At 47.3% G+C, this 25,535-nt stretch overlaps 1 protein-coding gene across 8 annotated transcripts in view; it reads left to right on the forward strand.

Annotated features, from left to right (window-relative positions):
- TG (thyroglobulin) overlaps positions 1-23,230 on the forward strand; it is a 267,942-nt gene extending 244,712 nt beyond the window's left edge. For 7 of the 8 annotated variants that reach the window (NM_003235.5, XM_006716622.4, XM_017013793.2 and 4 more), the window contains 5 exons: positions 1,753-1,934; positions 4,940-5,047; positions 20,143-20,277; positions 21,801-21,991; positions 23,007-23,230. In NM_003235.5, the coding sequence (NP_003226.4) occupies positions 1,753-1,934; positions 4,940-5,047; positions 20,143-20,277; positions 21,801-21,991; positions 23,007-23,125 (735 nt within the window). In that variant the 3' untranslated portion in view covers positions 23,126-23,230. The remainder of the gene's footprint in view (positions 1-1,752; positions 1,935-4,939; positions 5,048-20,142; positions 20,278-21,800; positions 21,992-23,006) is intronic. The other variant, XM_017013794.2, reaches the window with a different exon arrangement.

A 25,535-nucleotide genomic window follows, 5' to 3' on the forward strand; every position in this document is an offset into this window, starting at 1 on the left:
ATTTCAGGTCTGTGTCTGTGTATGTCCATGTGTGTTCTGTTATGTATAAGATAACTTTCTTACATGATCATGGTCAAAATATTTAAAAGTCGCTGATATGATGAATATTCACAGATTCACCATTCAGATCTCCCAATTTCATATTTGCTCCAGACTTTTTTCCCCAATAATCAAAATGTTATTGATAGAATGAGAACAAAGCCCTCTTTGCATGCCCTCCTGGCTTCGGTCATCCTGAAGGATCAGTTAGTCCACAGGGTGGTTCAGCCTTGCTTCTCGTTCAGCCGGGTGGAGAGTCAGCCATCCCACCAGAAGGGGCTGTGTTCACCCAGGAGTGGCTACGTTCACCCAGGAGGGGCTGTTCCCACCCAGGAGGGGCTGTTCCCACCCAAGAGTGGCTGTGTTCACCCAGGAGTGGTTGTGTTCACCCAGGAGTGGCTGTGCCCACCCAGGAGTGGCTGTGCCCACCCAGGAGGGGCTGTTCCCACCCAGGAGGGACTGTGCTTACCCAGGAGGGATTGCTCATTGATGGAATTCTAATCACATTGATGGAATTCTAATCACAGGTCCTGTGTGCTTGTAAATGTTTGGAGAAGCAATTTAAACACACCAGAGTGTGCTGATAAGCACGTTGCACCGTTTACATAAGGTCCTAGAAATATGTAAACACATAGCACAGGACTGTGCTGGGGCCCAGGAGGCTGGGCCTCACACCAGGGGCTGCATCCCAGACTTTCCCCTGCCCATTGTCTTCAGAAAGGAGGAAACTGGGTCCTGGGGGAAGGCAGTGAATGGCCCCAGACTCCCACAGTGCAGACAGCAGCAACACCAGAACAAGGAAGGAACAGAGAGAGGGGGGAATTTCAGAGAGAAATAGAGAGAGAAGGAGAGAGAAGGGGAGAGAAGGGGAGGGGAAGAGAAGGTGAGGGAAGGGAGAGAAAAGGGGAAGCATGAAGGAAGGAAAGAGAAAGACAGAGAAAAGAAAATAGAAAAAGTTGCGCCCATCTGGACACACATCCCCCAGAGAACTGCGTGCCTTTCCTGGCCATCCTATATAAAATAGCCCCAGCCCCAGCATTCCATATCCTTCGTATATGGCCTTATATTTCTTTGTAGCACCTGTTCCCTGATATACCATACATTTATTTGCTCATTTTCCACCTCTGCCACTAGAACGTGAGCCCCAAGAGACAGGGAGCTTGATCGGCATGTTTGTGGCTGTTTCTCCAAGCCTGGGGCACTGCTGGCCCTGGTGAAGCGTAACTATCTGTATGAAAGTGTGCATGAAGCATTCATATGATGAGTGACTGAGTCCATGAATGAAACTGAATTTAGCTCTCCTAACATGACCAGACCACAGTTACTCATGAGTTGGCTGAGCAAGGAGCCCGGGAAAGCAAGTGAAACTCGGGGGTTTGACCTGTTCTCAGACTGCAACAATGGTTAACCTTAACAGAGCACTTATTAAGTGCCAGGTACCATTGTAACTACTTGCCATAATCCTATGTGGCAGGCACTCCCATTTTCAGATGGGGAAGGCAGGCACAGAGAGGGATAGCCATTTGCTTAAGGACACACAGCTAGAAGGAGGCAGAGCTGGGATTCGAACTCAGACAGTCTGGCTTCCACTTGTGTTTAATGCCATGCCCCACTGCTTCCCAGAGAGAAAATTCTAGAGCAAGGGTTTGAGGGACACTGACTTGGACCTTTCAGAATCCAACTGAGGAATTTCGTATCTTTTTTTTTTTCTAGCAATTTGAGGAAAGTCGAGGCCGGACCAGTAGCAAAACAGCCTTTTACCAGGCACTGCAGAATTCTCTGGGTGGCGAGGACTCAGATGCCCGCGTCGAGGCTGCTGCTACATGGTATTACTCTCTGGAGCACTCCACGGATGACTATGCCTCCTTCTCCCGGGCTCTGGAGAATGCCACCCGGTAAGCTAAGCTGCAGGAGGGTGCAGATTCCTACTGCTATGTTTTGGAGCAGACTCAGTTGGTGTTCAGGTCATGAATGAGAAATAAAGGCACGTGGCTTTGTGCTTGAGGTTTCCTCTGCATCATTCATTCAGCCTACAGCATGGGGAGTGTCCCTGCTGAGGGGAAGCCCTGGAGGACATGTAGGGTGGACCCTGCTGCCAGGAAACCCCAAGCCAATGAGAGAAATGAGGGGGTGACTCTGGCTCTTCCTGGGCCATGAGGGAGCTGTCGGAGGGCAGAGACGAAGCACTTGCCAGAAGTGCCTGGTGCACGCTCCACCTGAAGCAGCCGCTCAGCAAATGCTCAGGACAACCTTCCACGCTCCTGGCCTTGCATTCACTGAGCCCAGTGCCCCCAGTCTTGGCTGCCCATCAGGCACACGTGAGCGCATTTAAAGGGTAGGTGACACACAGGGCCCATAGTGGGGCAGCATTTTCCAAAGCTCCCTCAGCTGATTCCACCTTGCAGTCCAGGCCCACCCGGCACGTGGGAAGCAGAGGCCTGGAGGCAGGGAGGTTTTGTGGCTGATACCACTCCCCACATAGGAACAGCCCAAGCTCTGACAGCCCTGCGCCCTCTCTCTGGGGCCCGCTGTTTCTTGTATCCACTGCTTACATGCCTTGTCCCCATTCAAGCTCAAGCTTCTCTCACTTGGGGAAGGCTGCCAAACCCCCACCCCAAGATGGCTAAAGGCTGCAGCCCCCAGGCCCTGCTGTCCCCAGGGTCCCTCTCTTGCAGCACGCCCCCGGCCCCAGGGGTTGTCGGGACAGACCTGCCTCCCTCTCCTAGTACTGCATGAGCTCACTGAGGCTGAGAACTTTTACAGAAATGCACAGCAGATGCACAAGAAATGATTTTTGAATAGAAATAAGAAAATAGCCAGGGCTCCAGTCCTTTCTTCCTTCTGAGCTCCTTAGGATGAGACCACAGTGGGGACTGCAGCTCTCAGGTCACCTTTGAGTCCCCTCACAGGTGACGCATCTTGGTTTTCTGAGGGCTCTCCAGTCCCAGTGGGAAGAATGGGTGGGATGCGAGTGCTTTTTACATTCTGTGCCTCCTTTTCTCTCTCCTTCTGGGAGGCCCATTTGCTTGTTGTCCCTGGGGACAGAGCCAATGTCAAGGCTCAGCATCCTTTGGTAAACTGGAGCCTGTTGGGAAGGGATGGGCTGGAAGGTGTTAGAGACCCACTGCCCTGCTTGGTCTCTCCACTCAGGAGCCTGTGGTTTCCAACTGGAGGGTCACTGGCTCAGAATAAAACTGTACCACCCACTTGGATCTTGCGGACTAAAAGGCTTTAATTTTCCCTCTAGTGGAGATCTCCACTTTAGATTAAACAGCCAACAGCTATTTTGGGAGGCCTTGCCCTGGGCTGGACCATAAGAACTCTCAGATGTCCAGTCCCTGACCCTGAGAGGCTTATAATCAAGTCAGGACTGGGCTAGATCACATTGCAGAGAGAGCTCAGGGCTAGAGATCAAAAAACCTAGGTTCTTGCCTTAATTTTGCCTTATCTGACCTTAAGGACAACCTGCGTGCTGGGGTGAGAGCTGAGACTGAGGGAAGGCAATATCACCAAGGGAGGCCTCACTCAGAAGACGGACTCCAGCTCAACCTTAGCTCAGGCCTTCCTTCTCTCTGGCACAGACTCAGGACCTGGCCCCATCTCCCTGGCAGTTTCCTGGGCAGTGTCCCACCCGAGGCCTGCCAGTGCGTGATGCTTCCCATAGGTTTGATCCTGTCCCTGTCCTGCTCACAATGCCTCAGGGTGCATGGGGGGAAACTCAGTTGGCTTCATCTGCCCTCAAGATGCCCACAGTGCCCCACCCAACTTCAGAGCCTCACCTGGGAAGACTCAAGCACCCAGCAGACTCACCAAAGGCTTTTATCCCAATGACCAGGAAAGGAAGACGGGCACCCCTTTTGCTGAGGGACTCCCATGGGTGTTATTAAACTTGGGCATTACAAAACCTCTTCCAGGTAGGGACCTTTGGCCCCACTTCTCAGCTGGGAAGACAGAGATTCAAGGAGATAAAAGAACTGCTGAGTATCTCACCTTTACTCTGCAATGCAGATGGGATTGAAAACCTGGTGGGCCCAGGGTCAGCCAGGGTCTGTCTGACTCTTGGCCTGGCTGGGGCCGCCTCTCTAAGCACATAGCCTGTGCGTCAGCACACGCAGGGCCCCACTCTTGTAAGCTGCTGCTTCTGAAATCGATTCATGCTACCCTCAAAGGCAGAGCAAATATATAACTTAGGGAGATTTCTCGGCTTCCTCATCTGGACATTTTGGACTGGATCTTTTTTTCTTATGTGGCTCCCTTTTCCACTGTAGGATGTTCAGCAGCATCCTGACCCCCACACACTAGATGCCAGTACAATCCTTTCTCTTCCCAGTTGTGACAACCAGGAATGTCTCCAAGCATTGCCAAAGGGTTCTCTAGGGGAGGTAGAGATGGGGTGGCAAAATCTCGCCTGCTGAGAGCCCCTGGGCTGAGCTGAGGGTACCACATGCTTGAGCTATCTTTGCGGGCTCTGACGTCTTCTAAAATGCACAATGATTTTATGTTCCATTCCACAGTATATTGTATTTAACTCCACTGTATATTGCATTTACGTTACTATAAAATGTTTTGCTTCCATGTCTTTAAGTGAAATTGATGTCCTGGGAAGATGTTTATTTCACAGGTTTTTTGATGCCTAAAATACATCAGCATGGACGCCAGTTTTCGAGCCCACCACCTACCAGAGGGAACTGTGTACCTACCATACCCTGGCTTTCCCATCAATGTGGCAGTGGAGGCACTTGGAGAGCATTGCTGGGGAATGGGAAGAAGGTGTTCTTGTAGGCCTGGCAGGGGTGGGTTGGGGGCCCAGGGGGCCCCTTGCTGGGAGAAGCCCTTTCCAGGCACCATGGCCCATAGAGCCATGTTTAACCAGACTCCCCCCATGTTCTCTTTTCACCAGGGACTACTTTATCATCTGCCCTATAATCGACATGGCCAGTGCCTGGGCAAAGAGGGCCCGAGGAAACGTCTTCATGTACCATGCTCCTGAAAACTACGGCCATGGCAGGTAAGACGCTGCAGGGAAGCAGAGAAAGGAAGGTAAAACCGAATGATAAGTCCCAGTTCGATGACATGGGACACACCACTTAACCCCTCTAAGCCTCAGTTTCCTCATCTGAGAAATAGAAATAATTGTAGTAGCCACTTCATCTCACTGTCTTGCAGGCGGGGAAAGTTAAAAAAAAAAATGGTGTGAAAGGCTTTGCAAATGATGATGACACACTTTAGAACTGCAATGTTAGTTATTAATTGATTAATTTGACTTGAGAGAGGAGGCTTTTTCATTTACTCTCTATATTGATTCCTCCAGAGACTGAGCACTAGCTTAAGACATTGACTTTCCAAAGTATAAAAAGGCTTTTCTTTTCAGCCAAATGAAAGTTGTATTCATGCTTGATTTATATATCATTCTTACTTCCAGAATAGGTTCCAGCTCCCTTAGAATAAAGTATCAGGTGCAATGAAGTCATCAAAATGAGAAAGAGAAATAAGGTGCAAGTGAAAGGAAACCAACCATAAAGGAAGGGCCAAGCAATGAGCATAGAATTTAGCCTTGAGTTTCCCAGAAGCTGGGGAAAATATTTTAAAAAGAAGAAGAAAAGAAAGATTTGGGTTTCATAGCTCTAATAGCTGAACAAAGGAAGCAGAGAGACTGAGTGACAGGGACGCACGTGATCTCAGCTTCAGAGTGAAAGAACAATGCAAAGAGGGTATCTGGGGACTTGGATGACCGGCGCTTTGAATGGAGGACTATGGGGCTATCTGTTCTACTGCCCCATGAGCTTACAGTTCTGAGCCATTCATCCATGTGGGAAAACCCCAGAACCCTTCCCACTGAGGCAGTGACTTCGTGCATTAAACCACATCAGATCATAGTGAGGTGCCTTTGGCAAGACAATCTACTCCTCTAGAGGGAAGACAGTAGTGGTGTCCTTGTGCTCAGCCTCCAATAAGCATTCACAGGTAACAGATCATCAGGGAACACATGTCTCCAAAAGATGCAAGAGCATTATTGTTTTACTTCATATAAGAATAGGAGCAAGGCCTGCCATCTGGGGTCAAGAACATTCATCACTCACATCCATGGTCTATTTTATGGGCAACAGGGAGCTGGGTGAAAGGACTGCAGCTTTAGAGGTGGGGGTCCAGCCACACCATATACCCGCTGTGCCATCATAGGTAGTTTTCTTTGTCTCTCTGATCTTCAATATCCTTACCTACAAAATAAGACTAAAGTTTTTCCTCTTAGGGTTGGCATTGACAGTACCTGGACCATAAGTTGTCCAACCCATAACAGGGCTTTACCCTGTGTTACTTAGCAAGGCAAGGGAACTCTTATAAACATGCATCATTTATCTTTACAATTAGCAACGCCCCTAAAGTAGGCTGAATAATGGCCACCTCAAGATAGACTCCTTCCCATGTCCTCCTTTCACCAGGGACTACTTTATTACCTGCCCTATAATTGACATGGCCAGTGATTTGGCCACCTTCCTGCCATTCCCCAATAATGCTCTCCAGGTGACCTCACTGCCACTACGGGAAAGAAAGGGCATTCTCATTTCTCCTAAGCACTCATTAGTTACCTGATTCCCCCAAACAGATTCTTCCTTTTTTTTTTTTTTTTTTTTTTTTGACGGGGTCTCCCTCTGTTGCCCAGGCTGCAGTCCAGTGGTGCAATCTCGGCTCACTGCAACCTCCACCTCCCGGATTCAAGCAATTCTCCCGCCTCAGCCTCCCCAGTAGCTGGAATTACAGGCATGCGCCATGATTCCCAGCTAATTTTCGTATTTTTAGTAGAGATGGGGTTTCACCATGTTGGCCAGGCTGGTCTCGAATTCTTGACCTCAAGTGATCGATCTGCCTCGGCTTCTCAGAGTGCTGGGATTACAGGCGTGAGCCACTGTACCTGGCCCTGACTCTTGCATTTTTATAGCACTCCACAAAAAAAGTTCAGAGCCCAATTTTGCAGGGTTGAAATGGCCACCTCTGTTTTACAGAGGAAGTGTGTCTCACAGTCTATTCGAGCTGCCGTAGTAAAATACCTTAGCTGAATAGTGGCCCCCGAAAGATATCAGGACCCAATCCCTGGAACCTGGAACATTACCTTATAAGGAAACAGAACCTGGGCAGTTGTGATTTAGTTAAGGATCTTGGCGTGGGGAGATAATCCTGGATTATCCCGTGAGGGCCCTGAATGCAATCTTAAGTATCCTTATAGATGAGAGCCAGAGGGAGAAGTGCTGTCTACAGAAGAGAGAAGGCAATGTGATCACAGAGACTGGAGTGATGTGGCCACAAGGAAGGAATGCCAGTAGCAGCCAGAAACTGGGAGAGCACGGGGAGGGAGTGTGGCCCTGCTGTCACCTTGGTTTTGGCTCAAACTGGTTTTGGGCTTCTGGTCTTCAGAACTATGAGAGAAAAAAGTTTCAATGGTTTTAAACCAGTAAGTTTATGGTGATTTGCTACAGCAGCTGCAGGAAACTCATGCAGTCCCCAAAGTGCTCTCATTTCCCCGGAGCACCCATTATTCATCCGCTTTCTCCAAACAGACTCTTCTGTTTTTATAGCACGCCACAAAAAAATGTCCAGAATCCTTGTGAGCTCTGCAGGGTTGAAATGGTTACCTCTGTTTTACAGATATGAAGTGTGTCTCAGTCTATTCAGCCTGCCATAGTAAATATATCTTAGCCTGGATAATTTATAAACAACGTAAACTTATTGCTCACAGTTCTGGAGGCTGGAAGTCCAAGATCAAGGCATGGGAAGATTTGGTGTCTAGTAGGGAGCTCGCTGACTGCTTCACAGGTGGCACCTTCTTTCTGCATTCTCTCATGGCAAAGGGGACAAACATTTTCCCTAAGGCCTCTTTTATGAGAGCACTAACTCCATTCATAAGGCTCCACCCTCATGACCTAGTTACTCCCCAAAGGCCCTGTCTCTTAATACAAACACACTGGGGATTCCATTTCCGCCTATGAATTCTGGAGGGACGTAAATATTCAGAGCATAGCAGAGTCTGAGGTTCAAGGAGTTCAACATGATTCCCTCGAGGACAAGCAGCTGGTTAGTTAGCAGTAACCCACCCGCGGCTTCTCTGAGCCTCAGAACTCTTTCCACTCTAACACGCGGTCTCTCTGCATAGAACTATAATTTCAGCCTGAACTACAGATTCAAGCAACTGCCTCCAGGTTGTAAGAAGAAAAATAAGTGGCAGGCCAGGATTCTGGGAAGGAGGCATTGAGGGAGAGAAGGAATGATGACAAGAGCCATGTGGTTTGGGTGGAGATGAAGGTGCCCTCCTAATCCAGTGGTCTATGGCCACCCATGGCAAGGGAGGCCCAGCATGGGAAATGTTCCTAGAATCAGCCTTGGCAGTGTCCTCCTCGCCAAGGCTCTCAGGAATCCACCCTCAATCCACTGACTCTTTTGTCTGGTTTTCTGCCTTCCTCACATGTAAGGTAGAGATTACAATGAAAGGTGTAACTCTCTCACAGCAAGTTCATTAAAAGCCTTACAAATATGCACATACCGTTGGACCCCAGAATTTACAGTGGCAAAATAAAAAAGAAATGAGTCTTCTACATGAGGGTGAAAACAATCAAAGCAAAACAAAATGAAAGCATTCATATCATTGCTGTGAGAATCAATAGTGCTTGGGCCCTACCTGGATCACTTTCATAGGCTGCTGTAACAAAGTGCCACCAAAACTGGGCAGCTTAGAGCAATAGAAATGTATTGTCTCAAGTTCTGGAAGCCACAAGGATGAATTCAAATTGTCAACAGGAGCATGCTCCCCCTGTAGGTGCTAGGGAAGGATGCGTTCCGGCCTCTCTCTTAGCCCCTGGTGGCCTAAGGCGATTCTTGGCTCATAGATATCTGTGTTCTTCGTCCGGTATTTCTTTACGTCGTCTTTCTTCGTGCACGTCAGTCTCTGGATCCAAGGTCCCCATCACCCATATTGGTTAGGGCCCACACTAATGACCTCAGTTTTACTTGATGACCTCTATAAAGATTCTATCTCTAAATAAGGTCCCATTCTGGGGTACTAGGGGTAAGGACCCCAACATATCTTTTTGAGGGAGACACAGTTCAACCCATAACACTGCCTTTCTCTAAAATAACTGAGCCTGTCAAGCAGGCTCTTGAATGGCAATGGCCCAAAGTGGTCTATTTTGGACCTTGGATTGGGGTGGTCCTCAGAGGAGCAATCCTAACAGAGTGGAATCACAACCTCAGACTCCCATGGCCAGTGTGGGTTTCTCTGTTGCTGAGTAGTGTCCTCATGTCCCTAGAGACAGGGTTCCACTGCGGCAACCCAGGGAACCTCCCATGAAACCAAGCCATGTTCATGCAGAGGCCCTCATAACTACCTCCCGTGGCTCCGTGGCTCTCTGCACCTCAGAGCCCAGTGACCCTCCTGGCACAGATGAAGACTTAGTAGGTGCTCAGGAAATCATACCGAAGGATAGATGGTCAGGAATGAGTCCTTTCTACTTTAGTTTTTAGGCTCTATGGGGCTCAGTTTTGCCACCCGTGAAGTGGGAGTAGGGAGGCCGGAGAGGTCTGAAGCACCGATTCTTCACTGGGTTCTAGGCAGCGTGGATCCTGAGCCTCTTTGAGGAGGGGGCAGGTCTGAGCCTCCCAGCCCCTTTCTCCCTATGTCACAGACTGAGCTTTGAGTAACATTTCCAGGTTATTCAGTTTAGAAAGTATGAAAAACTACTGGACCCAGTCACCTAAAGAAATCGTTTAGTTCTCAGTTCTATCATTTTTAGAGGAAAGAGACACGCAGATCCACGGAAACATTTTATAGTAGCGGTATTGCTATTCTTATGGAGGCAAAATAATGCCCTGGTCAAAAGCAGAGATGCTGGCATCTACTAGTTTGGTGAAAAACATATCCTTGAGTCTTATCAGCTCAGTGACCTAAGGCAAGTCATGTAACCTCTTTGGTGACTCAATTTCTTCATCTGGCAAATGGGTATAATAATAGGACCCATCTCAAAGGTTGTGACGATCATTAATTTTGCATAAAACAGAGACAGGCAAATAGTGCTAAGAGTATTCTGTTCTTCTTGGCCATCAGAATGCATTCTTGACAACCCCCTGTGTAGATGTCTCCTCTCTCCATCACCATCACATATGGTGCCATCTATGTAGCAGATAATTGAATCAATGAATGACTCACAGAAACTAACTCATTTGATTTTTGGCAAGTTTATCTTATTGTCCCAAAAAGACATCTCTCTTTCTCTCTCTCTCTCTCTGCCCCGGAGCTGTCACATCTCTCATTTTATTTCTGGCTCAAATCTACATACTTAAAATATATGTGTGTTACATTTTCAGCCATCTGTCTCGTACCTCCATTTCTGTTAGCATATATTAGCTTTCCTGGCAACAACTAGTGAAAAAAAATACAACGAATTATTGCTTTCTTATAGACTATTGTAAACTGATCACAGAATAGTGTGGTTTTCTTACTGTGCACCTGGATTATAGATGAGATTTTCATTCCTGAAATTGAGGGCAAACTTCTATGGGGAAAGAATAGGCATAACAGATGGAGAGGAGAGAGGGAAATCAAAATCTCTAGTGTGAGAAGAAGGTTCTAGTTTCAGATTCAGATTCAAAGAATCATAGAATATAGAAGATGAGACCGTCTAGCTCCTTCATTTTACATGTAAAGAAACAAAAGCCCAGGGATGTGAGCAGATTACTTCCCCGTCCCTGAGCCAGTGAGTAGCAGTCTGGAGCCATGCCCTGTTCCCTGCCCTCTCTCCAGCTTTCTTTCAATTGCTCCAACGTTATCCTAAACCCTATTGAGTGCCTACAATGGCCAAGTCCACTTACTATCTGTGTGGCCTTGGGCAAGTCACTTAACCTCTCTTAGCCTCCATGTAGCCTCACCTACATCTGCAGAGAGTAACAGGTCCTGTTCCATAGGGCTGTGGGAGGGTTTGGGGGACACTGCCTGCATGGTGTTTAGCTCAGAGCCGGCATCTGGGTTGTGTGAATGTCTCTGCGTGTGAGTGTATGCATGTATGTGTATCTGTATGTACAATACCTGGCAGCTTTGATTTCCAAGGCTACTGATGAGAGAAAAAAACTCACCAGCTTTCTCCTGTTCATCTCTGCCCACTGAAGAAACTTTGAGCCAGTTTCTCCCACGGTCTGTCTCTGGAGCCCTCTGTTTTAGGAAGTGGGATTTCCAGCGCGGCCTGTAATCCAGGGCTTCTCAACTTGGGCACTGTTGACATTTGAGACCGGATAACCCTTTGTTGTGGGAGGCTGTGCTGTGCATTGAAGGATGTTTAGAAGCACCCCTGCCTTCTACCCACCTGATGCCAGCAGCCCCAGTCCCCCTAAGCTGTGCCAACCACAAATGCCTCCAGACATTGTCACGTGTTCCCTGGGGACACAATCCTTGCTGGTTGAGAACCACTGCTGGAATCTATTAGAACTGAAGTTATTACTAACAGTACCTGAAAGGAAGTAGCAACCCCTCTCCCAGACACTGCCCCTGAATCAAGGTAGGATGTCCCCTGCCAAGATGCTGTCCCTGGCCCCTTGGAACCCCCTCAAGCAGATGGAGTGTGCCAGAGAAACAGAGGGGTGGTTTCAGTGCTTCTTTGTGACAAAGCTGATCTGGAAGGCCAACAGGCCTTCAGGTTCACATGCAGAGGGGCTCTGGCCTGCTGTCTCTCCCGGGTCTGAGGCCCTGGGCATTCTGTCTAATGCCTCCTGTGTTCTCTCTAATGCCTCCTGTCACTTGCCCAGGTACCTTTCAAGGCACCACCTGCTTATTCTGCTGGGATCCTTCCCTCCCTGCCCGTCTCTGGTATTTCCATCTCTTTGACTCACCGGTGATGTCCTCCTCTCTAAACAGCCCCTTTCAAAGGACACACTGGCCTTTAAAGGTCCAGGTATCATTCCCAGGAAGAGCCCCATCTGTGTCCTCTGCTGCTCATGAACAAAGGACTCAGACCCTGTGGCCAGGTTTGGGGACCGCACCCCCAGCCCTGGTCTGTGCTCTGGGCCCCAGCAAGTGTAGAAGAGAGCACCGGTTTGTTCTCTGCTGTTTCCTGTCTTTCAAGGGCTCTGCCACTTTCTATGTGCCTCTTTAAGAGTTGGTTTTCTCATCTGTGCAGTGGAGCTAGTAATAGCACTTATGCTTACTATGAAGTGTGTCAGGATTAAAGAAGACAAGGCACACAGACAGCCTCGCCTGTGGGCCTAACTGCCTGGCAGAGAGTGAACACTGATTAGGTGAGCATTACTAATGCTGCTTCGTGTATTATGCTGGAAGAATCCAAATTGGAGATCAACAGGTCCTTAGAAGAAAGCAAACACAAGTGAAGTGGTTTCTGGTACCAGACATTGCATGAGGAGCTGTAGCCACTTCAGAGAGGACATGGAAGCCTCTCATCTTAAAATGCCTGGGGGCTGGGCCAGCTGTGGAGTTCATGGTTTCCATGGAAATTCATCATGAGACTGAGTGTGTGCTATGGCACTTGAATTGTGTGCTGCATCTGGGTCTTTCTTCTGAAGGCCTTGGCCTCCAGGGTGCTGGGATGTCATTCCTACATCCCGATGGTGTGGAAGATGTTTCAACAAGACCACATTTAACTTTTCTTTGAATGGAAGAGTGGGGGCTGGGGTATGGCTCTTGGGATTAAACATCTACTCACGCCCCATAGAGGATGTTAGACTGGTCTTTCATTTTGGCAGAGACAGCCCAATCTAGTGAAACAGCACATCCTTTGAGACTAAATCAACTAGAGTTTTAATCCCATATCTACCATTTATTAGCTGTTTGCATTTAAACAAAACCCTTTACCTCAATTTCCTCACCTTTAAAATAGGTATAGCTATATCTACTTCGTAGTATGAATATTCAAGATCATGTCCATTAAACATCTGGCTCATTGCAGATGTTCAATGTTAGGTAGCTAGGGTTATTTTCCTTTTAGGAAAACTGAGGCTCTGAGAGAGAAAAACAAAACATTCAAAATGACTAAAGAGGCAATAATGTTCCTCCTTGATAAGTTGTCCCAACCCTGGAAAACAAAGCTGTAAATTCTAGACTCAAGGCATTTTGTACACCACTACACTTGCGTTCTAGACACTACTGTGCATTCCAGAGGCTTTTAACATTCCAGATTCAAAATATTATCTTTTTAGTTGACTGTCTTGGTGAGTTTGTTGGAATTAACAAACCAAAGAAAATACGAAGTGGATAGATTATTGAACTGAATCCATCAGCCTGGCTACATCCTGTGGGATTATTTCCCAGTGTAGATGAAAATAAATCATTTTCTGAAACTGATCACTCCAACTCCTTGACATAATAGGGTTTGCACTATATATCTTCTTCAACATTGATTTGACAGAGATTTACCTAACGCCGTCTATGCTGCAGATCCCCTTCCAGGTCCTAGAAATGAGAAACCTGCAAGGCAGAGAAGAGCTGCCTTCTTGGGACAAAGACTATAGTTGCAGGTGGGGCTGATGGGTATCTAGGAATAGTGTGTAAAGAATAGACAATACACACATCAATATGCAGCATATGTTCGGATAACAGTACTAGGAAGGAGGTCCACTAGGGTGCCATGGTCAGTAATAAGAAAAGAACCTTGTGTAAAGGTGACATTTGAGCTGAGAACCAAGAAATAAGAAGATGTGTGATCCTCATGTAGAAGTGGGAAATCCCAAAAGAAAGATCATCAAAGGCCAAGGCCCTAAGTGGGAAAGGGCTTGGCATATTTGAGGATAAAGAAGGCCAGGGAACTGGAGCATTACTAATGCTGCTTCGTGTATTAAGCTGGAAGAATCCAATTTGGAGATCAGCAGGTCTTTGGAAGAAAGCAACCACAACTGAAATGGTTTCTGGTACCAGACATTGCATGAGGAGCTGTAGCCACTTCAGAGAGGACGTGGAAGCCTCTCATCTTAAGATGCCTGGGGGATGGGCCAGCTGTGGAGTTCATAGTTTCCATGGAAATTCATCATGAGGCTGAGTGCGCGCTAGGACACTTGAATTGTGGCACTTGAATTGGAGCCTGTTGAAGAGGAGGGGAGTGGTTGAAGGTGCAGAGGGAAAAAAATGAGTCTTGTAGTTCACATAGGAGTTTGTAAGCTGTGGCTAGCAGAGAGATAGTATTTTATTTGAGTGTGATGAGAAGGCATTGCAGATTTTATAGAAAATATATATAATGCACAATGGTCTTTTCATTCATATCCAGGACGGCTCACTGAAACATCAGTTATCTTTTTAAAAAATAATAAAATGTAGAATATCAACACTGTTATCAAATGCGATGGTCAGTTAGTCAGAAAAGTCAATTAAGAAGAGAACTTGTGAAAAATGAGTAAGATAGGTGTGATGCCTTAAATATTTTATTTTAACTTTAAACACATAAATCTGCATCACCTGGCCATTCTTTTGGTGCAGGATCAGAGGGTTAAGCTGGAAAATGCTGTTTGGAGTTCTGCCTTTGAACTTCTTGCAAAACCATAAACATAGTGCATGATCTATTATTTCCAGTCTGGGATCCATGAAAATGGAGTATCTGCATGGTATTCAATAAATTCAATTAGATGTAAAATCACAATGACAAATACAATGACTTAAACAGTTGGGCCTTGGTAAGCACACAACACAGTTATTGAGGATGCATGTTTAGGGCCTGCAAAGTTCATTTTTTTCTGGACAGCCGTTATCATACTTTATGGAGGGAATAAAATGTTCAGGTTAATCTAGCAAGATAGTTGAAAGTTTTGAGTCTACTGTGAAACAATATATCATACAGCTCTGCTGAGCTTTAGGAAGTTAGGGGACTACAGCAAATATCTCCTCTGGGGCCGGGGGTGGGACTGCACTATTTAGCGTACATCAGGGAGCTTATTTTTAAAGGATTGCATAGCAAATTCTCTTGTAAAACACAAGCCATTTGGAAAGCAAATAATTACTTCCTGATTAATTCACATGCAGAATCTGAACTTTTGCATATTAGATTTGCCCAAAGAGAGGCACGCTTATAAGCTTCTAGTCATAAGTTATTTAATACTTCCTCAGCTTCTAAAAAAAAAAACAAAAAAACAAAACAAAACAAAAGCCTGGGAAGCAAAGGGACTTTCATTCCTCCCCGTTCCCTAATTTCCTTTGGAGGAAGCTATGGAGAAAGATGCTGGCTGGGGATAAAAAAAAGGGAGTATATTTTATGGGGATGAGGTCAACAGACTTCCTGCAGACAGACGGAAGAGCAGGGACTGAAATCCCTGCAAGCACAGGCTCTCAAATCAGTCCATTCAGATGGGCCGGAATGCCCATCTGTGCTGTGCCATCTCCAGCACAGTCCTCTTCACACCATTATCAGCAGAATGGCTTCCCCATGCAAAACAGTGTCTTATTTCTGTCAAGAAAGATCCTTCCTCACACCCTCACCTCATCATAAGGGGAACCCAGGCTCAACCCACCTCCCCAGCTCCATCCACTGCCAGGTGCATCTCTTTGAATGGATGTACCTCCATCATCCTGTTTGCTGATAAGCCCAAACTTTTGTGGATTATGACTCCTGATCCTGGAAGCTGAGAACTTGTGCAATGGATCATCTCTGAAATGAGGCTTTTGGCTCGCTGGGGTGCAGGCTTAGCCTCCCTGCAGGTCCTCAGCAGCACCAGCAGGATTAATGATGAGCAGTGTGGCAGAGAGGTAAGCTTGGAGACATTATGTGAAAAGGTTCTGTCTTTCCTGGACAGTTGCAGCGACCCTAGGATTTCTCAGTTCTAGTCTTTCTTCCCACACACCTCTAGTAATCCTTCCAAAAGAAATGCAACTTACAACTCATTTGCTAAGAAACCTCCAGAGTTCCCAGCCCTTTTAAAACATGACCGTCAATTCTTCTGGTCTAGGCCGTCACACCTTTCGAAGAATTAGATTCCAGTAGACCTTAGTAAGCATGCAGTTTAGTGGTTTTTCAGACTTTGGATTTTTCTGGACTAGAAAAAGTTCCAATTGCACTTCTTAGCAGGACCTGTGAGGCCAGCGCCTTGGGGACTGTTTTCTGCCAGCTGCACCAGCCCCCACCTGCCCTGGCTCTCCTTGTGCTCAGCCATACCCCTTGTCATTCCTTGCTCCATACAGAGCACAAAGCCCACTCCGTGATGGCCCAAGTGCTGAGTCGCTACCCACATGCCCTTCCTCGCCTCATCCACTCACTAACCCTACTCATCTGTCCAAGCACAAGTCCACCGCGGCCTCCTCTCTCTCGGTTTCCATAAACTCCTTTCCATTTTCTTGCCTGGAATAAATGGTATTTCATTTCTCTCTCTTCTTATGGTAGTTGGTAAGTAATTCTATCACTTGATAGATACCTACCTATCTATCGTACAACTCACAACATTTTATTTTTGAAAAGCAGTGGTTGATCGCACTTTCTTGTTAGAACGTGAGCTCCTCAGCAGAACGGCCACCTTTTGAGCCTCAGCATCCATCCAGAGGACAGTGCACAGCAGGCATTCGGCAACTGTGGGCGGAGCAGGGTCTTAGTCCCAACACCCCTTTTCTAATTTGCCACCGTCCTCACTGGACGGCATTCAAATCCTGAAACTGAAACAAAAGGCGTGCACACACACACACACACACACACACACACACACACACACACACACAGTCATCCGCAGAGCTCTGTGGCTGGTCAGTTCTTTCTACAGTCTGGTTAAATGTAAGTTTATCAACTTCAGCAACCTTAACTCTTCCTTGAGTGGCAACTTACAGTTTTTAAAGGAATTTACACCCACTCGATCTATGAGCATCCGATATACCATATGGGAGGCTGAACGGAGATGATCAGACCCATTTTACTGACAGGAAAACCAAGGCTTAGAGATTCAGCAGTGGAAGTGGGACTTGCACAGAGCTTGCCCATCTTGGGCAGGTAGCTTTCCCAAGCCCAAAGTCTGCCTTTCCATGTGACAAGGAGAAGATTCAGATCTGGCCCTGGGCGTAGGATGAGCAGCTGTCAGATGAGGGGCAAGTTCCACTGCAATGTGATTACCAAAAACAGCAGATGACAAGTAAAAGCTAAATGCCTCCAGGCTGACCATATACTGACACAGCTGCCACGGGTCTGGACCTATGATTTATCAGTGATCAGACACAGCGCAGGGCAATGAAGCCACATGAGCACACGTGAACTGCCTACCCCAAGTCTGCGAGCACCAGGGCCACTCAGTTGAGTCTTTTCTTTTACCTTGTCAGACCCTGGCATGTTCTTCTGGGTCTTCCTCTGCTGCTGCTGCTGAATCCAAATCCCCTTTTCTTCCTCCAGAGGGTCCTGGAACTCCCAGCCAGTGCCCAGATTCACCGAGGACTTGGTCCTCGACTCCCAGATTCCCTCTTCAGAGGCTCCACTCTTTGTGCCTCCTCCAGATGTCCCTTAAACTGCTCAAAATAACTCCTGCATCCTGATAGAGATCAGCTCTGCTAAGGAAAAAACAAAGCAGAAATCCTCATACACAACAGGCTCTCAAATTAAACAGATGGGATGGGCTGGAATGCCAGGACTTTCCCCCAAAGCAGTGCTCTGTGGCCTTTCTAAGGTCGCAGACAGTGGTGGCCTGGAGCTGCCTCATACAAGTTCACGAGAGCTGGTGGTACACATTGCTTCCCAGCACCATGCTCAGTGATATCACTTTGAAATTGGCTAAGGTGGGAGTATTTACACTGTAAAAATTGGCAAGTATTACAAATAGGATTTCCTTTCCCCCAGAGAGTCAATTATTAAACTTTTTTCTTTTTTTGAGACAGAGTATCACTTTGTCACCCAGGTTGGAGTGCAGTGGTACAATCGTGGCTCACTGCAGCCTCGAACCTCCTGGGCTCAAGTGATCCTCCTGCCTCACCCCTCCAAGTAGCTGGGACTATAGGCACACGGCACCACACCCAGCTAATTTTTGTATTTTTTGTAGAGATGGGATTTTGTCATGTTGCCCAGGCTGGTTTTGAACTCCTGAGCTCAAGCAATCCACCTGCCTTGGCCTCCCAAAGTCCTGGGATTATAGCCATGAGCCATCACGCCCAGCTGATTATTTATCAGGTCATGACCTTCTTGAGAATGTGATGGAGGATATGAAACATCTCTCAAGAGAGATCCACCTATACACTTAACAGCATTTTATGTGTAATTTTAGGGAACTTGTGGCTCTCCAAAACCCTGCAATGGGACCTCCCCAACCTCCCACAAGTTAAGGACTCCCACTCTTAAGCTTTCAGATGTCTCTCTCAGTTAATCAAAAAGGAAATAAGTATATGAGCCAGAAACTGGGTCAGAGAGATTAAAAATATTTTATTGCTAAACCTCGTTCAGCATCTGAAATAAGCATAATTGTGTCACCATTTTACAGAGGAGGACACTCAGACCCAGAGACATTAGACAGCTTGTCCAAGATTGCACACTAGTCAGTGACTGAGCTGGGGTTTCAACAGAGCACTCTGGCCTTTAAAGTTTATTTCTGTTCACTAGAATACTTGGAATGCAGCTTCCTCTGGAGGAAACAGTAGACCAGGCTATTGTAGTAACAGTTATACCCCCGCAAAATGTCCAAGTCCTAAACCCTGAAACCTGTGACTGTGTTACCTTCCATGGCAAAAGAACTTTGCAGGTGTGACTAAGGTTCAAGACCTTGAGATGGGAGCTTATCCTGGTAAGCTCAATTTAATCACATGAGTGCTCTAAGCAGGGGAGTGTTCCAAAGAAATGCAGCATCAGAAGGACTTGGCCACTGAGGATGGAGGAAGGCAGTTCTGATCGGCAGCCTCTAGTGACTGGGAATGGCCCTCAGTTTGTAGCCAGCAGGAAAACGGGGGCCTGGGTCCTCTACCTCAAGGAACGGAATCCTTTCACAACTTTGAATGGTCAAGAGAAGTATTCTCCCCAGGGCTTTCAGAAGGAACGCAGACCACTCACCCTTTGATTTCAGTCCACTAAGATCGATCCTGGATTTCTGAACTCCAGACATTGTCAGATAGTAATTTGTGTTGTTTTAAGCCACTGAGTTTGTGGTAATTTCTTAGGGCAGCAATAGAGAATTAATACAGCCAGTTTTCCAGAAGCGCCTCCCGAGAAACAGGCTGTTGAACCTTTCATCCCACTGTGAGGAGAAGGACTAATCCCCAGTGGGGAGAAAGTCGGCCAGACATCACTGGAGGAAGAAAGAGGAGGGGGGCCCCTATTAACCCTGGGCCTCCTGGCTTCTCTGTCGCCACCGCAGAGGGAGTGTGGTGATTGAGAAACAAGACAGCTTCAACAAGACCGGCAGTGGGGTATGACTCACCTTCCAGAAGCCAAAGGCAAAGTCCAGACCTCTCTTTGGGCAAAGCCCGATTTTTTACTATGCAGTGGTGAAATCCATCCTGGCTTTTCCACTCTACCACTCTCCCTGGTTCCCAGTGCTCACTCCATGGCCCATGTACCAGGCTCCTCAGCACCAGCTCCAGCCCAGGCCATTCACACCACTGGACTGGCTTCCAAGTCATTATTCCCACCAGGATGCTGCTTCCTAGATATTTAATCCAGTCTAGCATGTATTTATTGAATAACTCCTATTTGCCAGGTACTGTGCTGCGGTGGGCTTCATGGATAAATGTCTTCCTTGAAAAGTCATAAGAGTGTGAGTTGTATATGAACACAGGCTAGTGCGGAGAATGGGCTCAAATACAAGCTACTTTCATTATTGCTTTTTCAGTGACTAGAAGAACACCAATATCCAGTGATACCATAAGTATCGTGGTTAGAATATGACCCAAAAATCATTGTGTTGGGAGGTTTCTCGCAGGCATTATTTCCAGAGACTTCAGTGTTCCGTGTTGGTCTCACTTTAGCAACAGACATGCCATGGATCTCCCCGCAAGGGGCCACTGCACTAAATTTAGGCCAAGCCAAATCTCCATTCAACTGGGCCCTAAACAGGATACTTGGATATGATATAAAGAAGGGAAAGTCTTGGTTTTGGAAGAAATATTTTTGTTTGTGTGTTTGTGTTTTTGAGTAGTTTACTTTCTCTTGACCTTTTGCTGCTGCTTTTCCTCTGTTTTCTCAGCCTGGAGCTGCTGGCGGATGTTCAGTTTGCCTTGGGGCTTCCCTTCTACCCAGCCTACGAGGGGCAGTTTTCTCTGGAGGAGAAGAGCCTGTCGCTGAAAATCATGCAGTACTTTTCCCACTTCATCAGATCAGGGTAATTTTGGACCACTTGTTCAGAATTCTGTCACTGTGCTTTTCCTCCCGCTTCCTTCAAGCAGAACGCAAAGGCCCAATTTGCATCGATAGACTCATCCTTTCCTCCGTAGACACTATAATCACCAGCCACTGGCCTCCCTGTCTCAGTCACCCCCTCCTAGCCAAAACTGCTTTTGCATACATTAATCTTCATGAAGAAAAGCTCTAATTATACCAGCTGCATTTGATGACTCTAGATCGGGGTTTCTCAACCTTAGTGCCATTGACATCGGGGGCTGGATAAATCTTGGCTGTGTCCTGTGCATTGTAGGATGTTTAACAGCATCCTTGGCCTCTAGATGTCCACCAGATGCCAGTGGTGCCCACCTCGGCCCAGTTTTGAGAACCAAGCATGTCGAATGTCCCCTGGAGGGAAAACCACTTGGAGGAGAGCCACTGTCTCTCCACAGAGGGGAATACCAGTGCCTTGGGTTTTCAGCTTAAGTTGAAATGCTCAGGGCCCTCCTTTATTCACCTTGAGGCTCTTCCTCTCCTTGCCTGCCTGTACTCCAGTCCAATGAAGTATACTCGCTGTCCCCACCTGCAGAATTGGTTCCTGCTCTTTCCTCTTCATGGTAGTTTACCTGTTTCCTTTTATCTTTTTGCCTGATGTGAGTTGATTACCTAGAACTGTGCTAGGTTCCCTGGAAAGATAAAAAGGTGCAAAAGTCATGACCCAGCTACCAGCTACTAATAGTCTGAAAACACAAAAATGAACCATAATTCAAAGCAGGAGAAAATAAAGCTTTATGCAGTTTGTTATGGGAGTTGAGCAGAAAAACACATTTCTTGTAATTAGGGTTTTAGAAAATATTTCACTGAGGAAGTCACAGTTAAGCTGGGCCTTGGGGGATAAATAGAATATTTATATAAGCAAAGAAGAAGAAGACACTTCCAGGAAAGGAGGTCTGGGCAAATGCAGCAGGGATGAGAGGACACACCTTATCTGGGAAACGTCAGGTGGCTGCAGGGCTGGTGTTTGGGCTACATGGCAGGGCATGCCGGAAGACGGGCCTGGGCAGCAAGTTTGGGAAGGAGCCTTTATCCCAACAGGTCTGACATCCCCTTTATGGGGCAGCTGGCCTACAGATTCACCCTCCTGCCCGGGCCTTGGACAAGCAAGGACATTCCAAAGGCTAGCTATGGTGTCTAGATCTGAGGACATCAAGAAAGAGAAGAGCACAGTGATCTCCTGACCATTCACAAAGACAGAAGGGCAGCGCTAGGTCCTGGGTAATGCTACCAGGTCATGACCTTAACACCTTTCCTCACCCAGAAATGGCCTAGCTTTGCAGTGCTAGCTTTGCAGTGCAGTCAAGATCACAACCCCAGAAGCCAGATTTAGGGAGTTCACATGCAGCCTTGACACCTACAGATACATGAATTGTCCCTCAGATACCGAGTGCAAGTGGGAAGTGATTCAGGTGATGAAAGGAAAGACAAATTTCCCTCATGGATATTTCTTTCTTCTCATTTGCCCAGAAATCCCAACTACCCTTATGAGTTCTCACGGAAAGTACCCACATTTGCAACCCCCTGGCCTGACTTTGTACCCCGTGCTGGTGGAGAGAACTACAAGGAGTTCAGTGAGCTGCTCCCCAATCGACAGGGCCTGAAGAAAGCCGACTGCTCCTTCTGGTCCAAGTACATCTCGTCTCTGAAGACATCTGCAGGTAGCAAAGCCCTGGGACAAGTGGAGGGAGCTGGGTGTTGATCTCAGCATCTGCTGTGCTCGCTGCATGAGACCTGTGCTGCGCGCGCATTGGAGCCAAGGGGTCACCAGTGCCAATGGCACAGCCCCTTCCTGTGAGTTGTTCATGGTCTGGGGAGCTCCATGTTGCCAAGGGCCTCCTGTTCTGATGTAGGGCTGGAAGGAAAAGAAAGAGAGGCACAGGAAGAGGGCAGTGGGGTGACTAGGAGAGAAGGTCTATGGGGGGTAGAATGCTGAACCAACATCAGGGCTTCCAGCCTAGAACGTTGGTATGGGAAGAGAAGGGAGTGTCTTGAACCTCATCCTCACAGTCCTTGAAGTCCTAGATAGAAAATCTTGGAGAGGTAACTCTAGCCAGGGGAAAAGTGGGCATTTCTACCTCTTCCTGTTGCAGAGGTGTTAAGGAGAGAAAAGAAATTATAATGAAGGCACTGGGAATAGAGAGTAAACACAATGCCCTTAGGAAGCTTTGGAATAACGGGTGTGAGTGACACAACCCAGGGGATGGCCCTCAGCTTTCCTGGAGCCATGATGGAAGCCTGTGTCTGAGTGAGCAGGAGCCCAGAGGAAGGAGGACTCACTCCTCCCTGGAGGCTCTAGGAAGGGTCCCCAGGAGAGGTGATGCTGGGCTGTGGTTTTTAGAATGACAGGAGTTTTTCAGATACAGAGAAATGGGAGTAGTCCGTTAAACAGGGAAGGGATCTTGTCCAGCTATAGTTTAGATTTTCAACTCTGCTTTTAGCTTCCAAGGCTGAGTGTCTGTCTGCTGACAACAAATCCAAGTACCATTGTACCCTTAGCATGTCCCTATAGCCAGGAGACCCATCTGGCACCTCAGCCAGTGGAAAATTCCCTCTAAAGGGCATTAGCAAGAAATGTCCACTGGAGGCTGGGGTCTCTTTGGGACAAAAGGAAGGGACCAGAGAAGAGAAGTCCTAATCTGGCTTGGACCAACCTTCCTTGCCCCTCTGTTTCAGATGGAGCCAAGGGCGGGCAGTCAGCAGAGAGTGAAGAGGAGGAGTTGACGGCTGGATCTGGGCTAAGAGAAGATCTCCTAAGCCTCCAGGAACCAGGCTCTAAGACCTACAGCAAGTGACCAGCCCTTGAGCTCCCCAAAAACCTCACCCGAGGCTGCCCACTATGGTCATCTTTTTCTCTAAAATAGCCACTTACCTTCAATAAAGTATCTACATGCGGTGAAGCATTGTTGACTCTAATGTGTGAATCCAAGGCAATTCGTTGGTAACACCAACTATATCTTAATAATCTTTCTAAGGTTTGAATCCCAGGCTGCTGTTTCCATTCAACAAATGTTTATGAGCATCTGTTATGCACCAGGCCCTGTGCTGGGTGCTGGAGAAACAAGGACTTTGCTCCTCCAGAAGGAGAGAATGCTGGGCAAACAGTGACACAAAAAATGGGGATCCATCAAGAGCAGGCCCCAGGTGGCATAGTCCCACCTGAGTGGTAGAAAAGACTCACTCACAAAGGTTCCAGAGTGGAGGTAGAAGACCAACTGGAATGGGTGCAATGGTCCAGTGAGAAGCAATGCACTCTGAAGCAAGACAATGAGGATGGAGCTGGGGCAAGAAACAGAGCCACAGGCCCTGGAGGAAGTAGAACTGATGGAACTTGATTAAATGTGAGAGGGGGTTGGTGCAAGGTGATAGAATTGCCCCAACTTTGGGATGATTTGGATTCCCGGATAAGCAATGTTCACCCTCCTAAGGGACACACGTTTAAGGCAAATATTCTGGTTAAAACGTTCTGTCTCTCCACCCCCTTTCACACACACATGGACACACACTTCACCCAAAGTAAAAGCAAGTGGAGCTGGTTAACAGTCTTGTTCACTTAGATGGCATGCCATCAAATGCATTCATACCCATCATGTTATTTGAGTTCAGAGTAAATTAGTGATGATTTGTAGGCTGAGATTTTTGTCCTATCTTGCAAATGTGGAAGGTGAGGCTCAGAAAGACTTACACTATACCTGAATTCACATGGTGAAGAGGAGGAGAATCAGAGTCCAACTCAGGTTTTCCCATTTCTCTGTTTCCATGCACTGTATGGACTATAAAATATAGGCCTAGGGTCACGTTGTGTGTCCTACAAAACCTACTGATAGCACTGAAAGCCCTGACTAGCCTCCAACCTGCATTATAGGCTCTGTTAGGATGGTTCAGCGAAAGCACTTAAATACTGAACTAAAAGGCCTTAACCAAAGGAAACTCGATAGGTAGATGGTCCCAGGGTTGGTCAGTGTCTCAGTGATGTCATTAAGGACCCAGACTCTTTCCAACCATCCTCTTTGCCATCTTCAGCGCATGAATGGTGTTTCAATTCACTGACATATTATGGCTGCCACAGCTCCAGACATCACACATAATCCCCAACAGCATCTCATGCTGGAGGCAAATGGGGAAGGAGCTAAAGGGCTTTCCCCTCCAGTGCTTCTTTCTTTTTTTGGAGGAAAAGTTTTTTCCCAGAGGTTCTCAGCAGAATTCCCCTTACATCTTTTTGGCTAGAACTAAGTCATGTGCTCCTTTTTTTTTTTTTTTTTTTTTTTTTGATGGAGTTTCACTCTTGTCGCCCAGGCTGGAGTGCAATGGCACAATCTTGACTCACCACAACCTCTGCCTCCCGGGTTCAAGGATTCTCCGGCTTCAAGGAATCCCAAGTAGCTGGGATTACAAGCATGTACGACCATGCCTGGCTAAGCTAATTTTTTTTTTTTGTATTTTTAGTAGAGACGGAGTTTCACCATGTGGGTCAGACTGGTCTCAAAGTCCTGCCCTCAAGTGATCCCGCCTCAAAGTGCTGAGATTACAGGTGTGAGCCACCGCGCCTGACCATATGCTCCCTTTTAAACCATCACTGGCAATGAGGGATGAAAGGGCCTTCTGTGATCCAATTATACCAGGCATGACTTATCCTCCAGAGTAGGACATATTGCTGTCCCAACAAAGCTGGGGTGCATTTAGCAGCAATGAATGAGGAGACAGTTATTGGGTAGACAATGGATGCCCCCAAGACTATGACAGTTGGGGCCATTTCCCCATCCTTGGGTCTCTCCTGGCATGGCCCCGGGTTGGAGTTGGCCTCAAGCACCTTTTTACTCCTTTAGTGCAGTGTGGGTTGAAAATCATGTGCTGTATTTGGAGGTGCTCTCGAGTTCCCAGAATCAGGAGTCATGGCCCTGGTGCTTCCTTGGTGTACCCTTAATCCAGGGTAAGGCTCCAGGATCTGGGGGCTCAGACAGGGGCAGGAGACATGGCTCCAGGAGGTAGTGCTCTGCATTCTCACTGTGTTTGGGTCTCCTGCGGTATCCAGACTGGGGGATGGATGAGACCTCTATCAGTTGTCTGTGGCTACTGTCAAAATTTTCACAAACTGAGTGGCTTGAAACGACAGAAATGTATTATTTCATAGTTCTGGACACCAGAGGCCCTGGATTGAGGTGTTACTGGGGCCGTTCCCACTCCAAGACTCTGAAGGAGGATCCA

The sequence above is a fragment of the Homo sapiens genome, chromosome 8, assembly GCF_000001405.40.
Source record: "Homo sapiens chromosome 8, GRCh38.p14 Primary Assembly".
NCBI classification, from domain to species: Eukaryota; Metazoa; Chordata; class Mammalia; order Primates; family Hominidae; genus Homo; species Homo sapiens.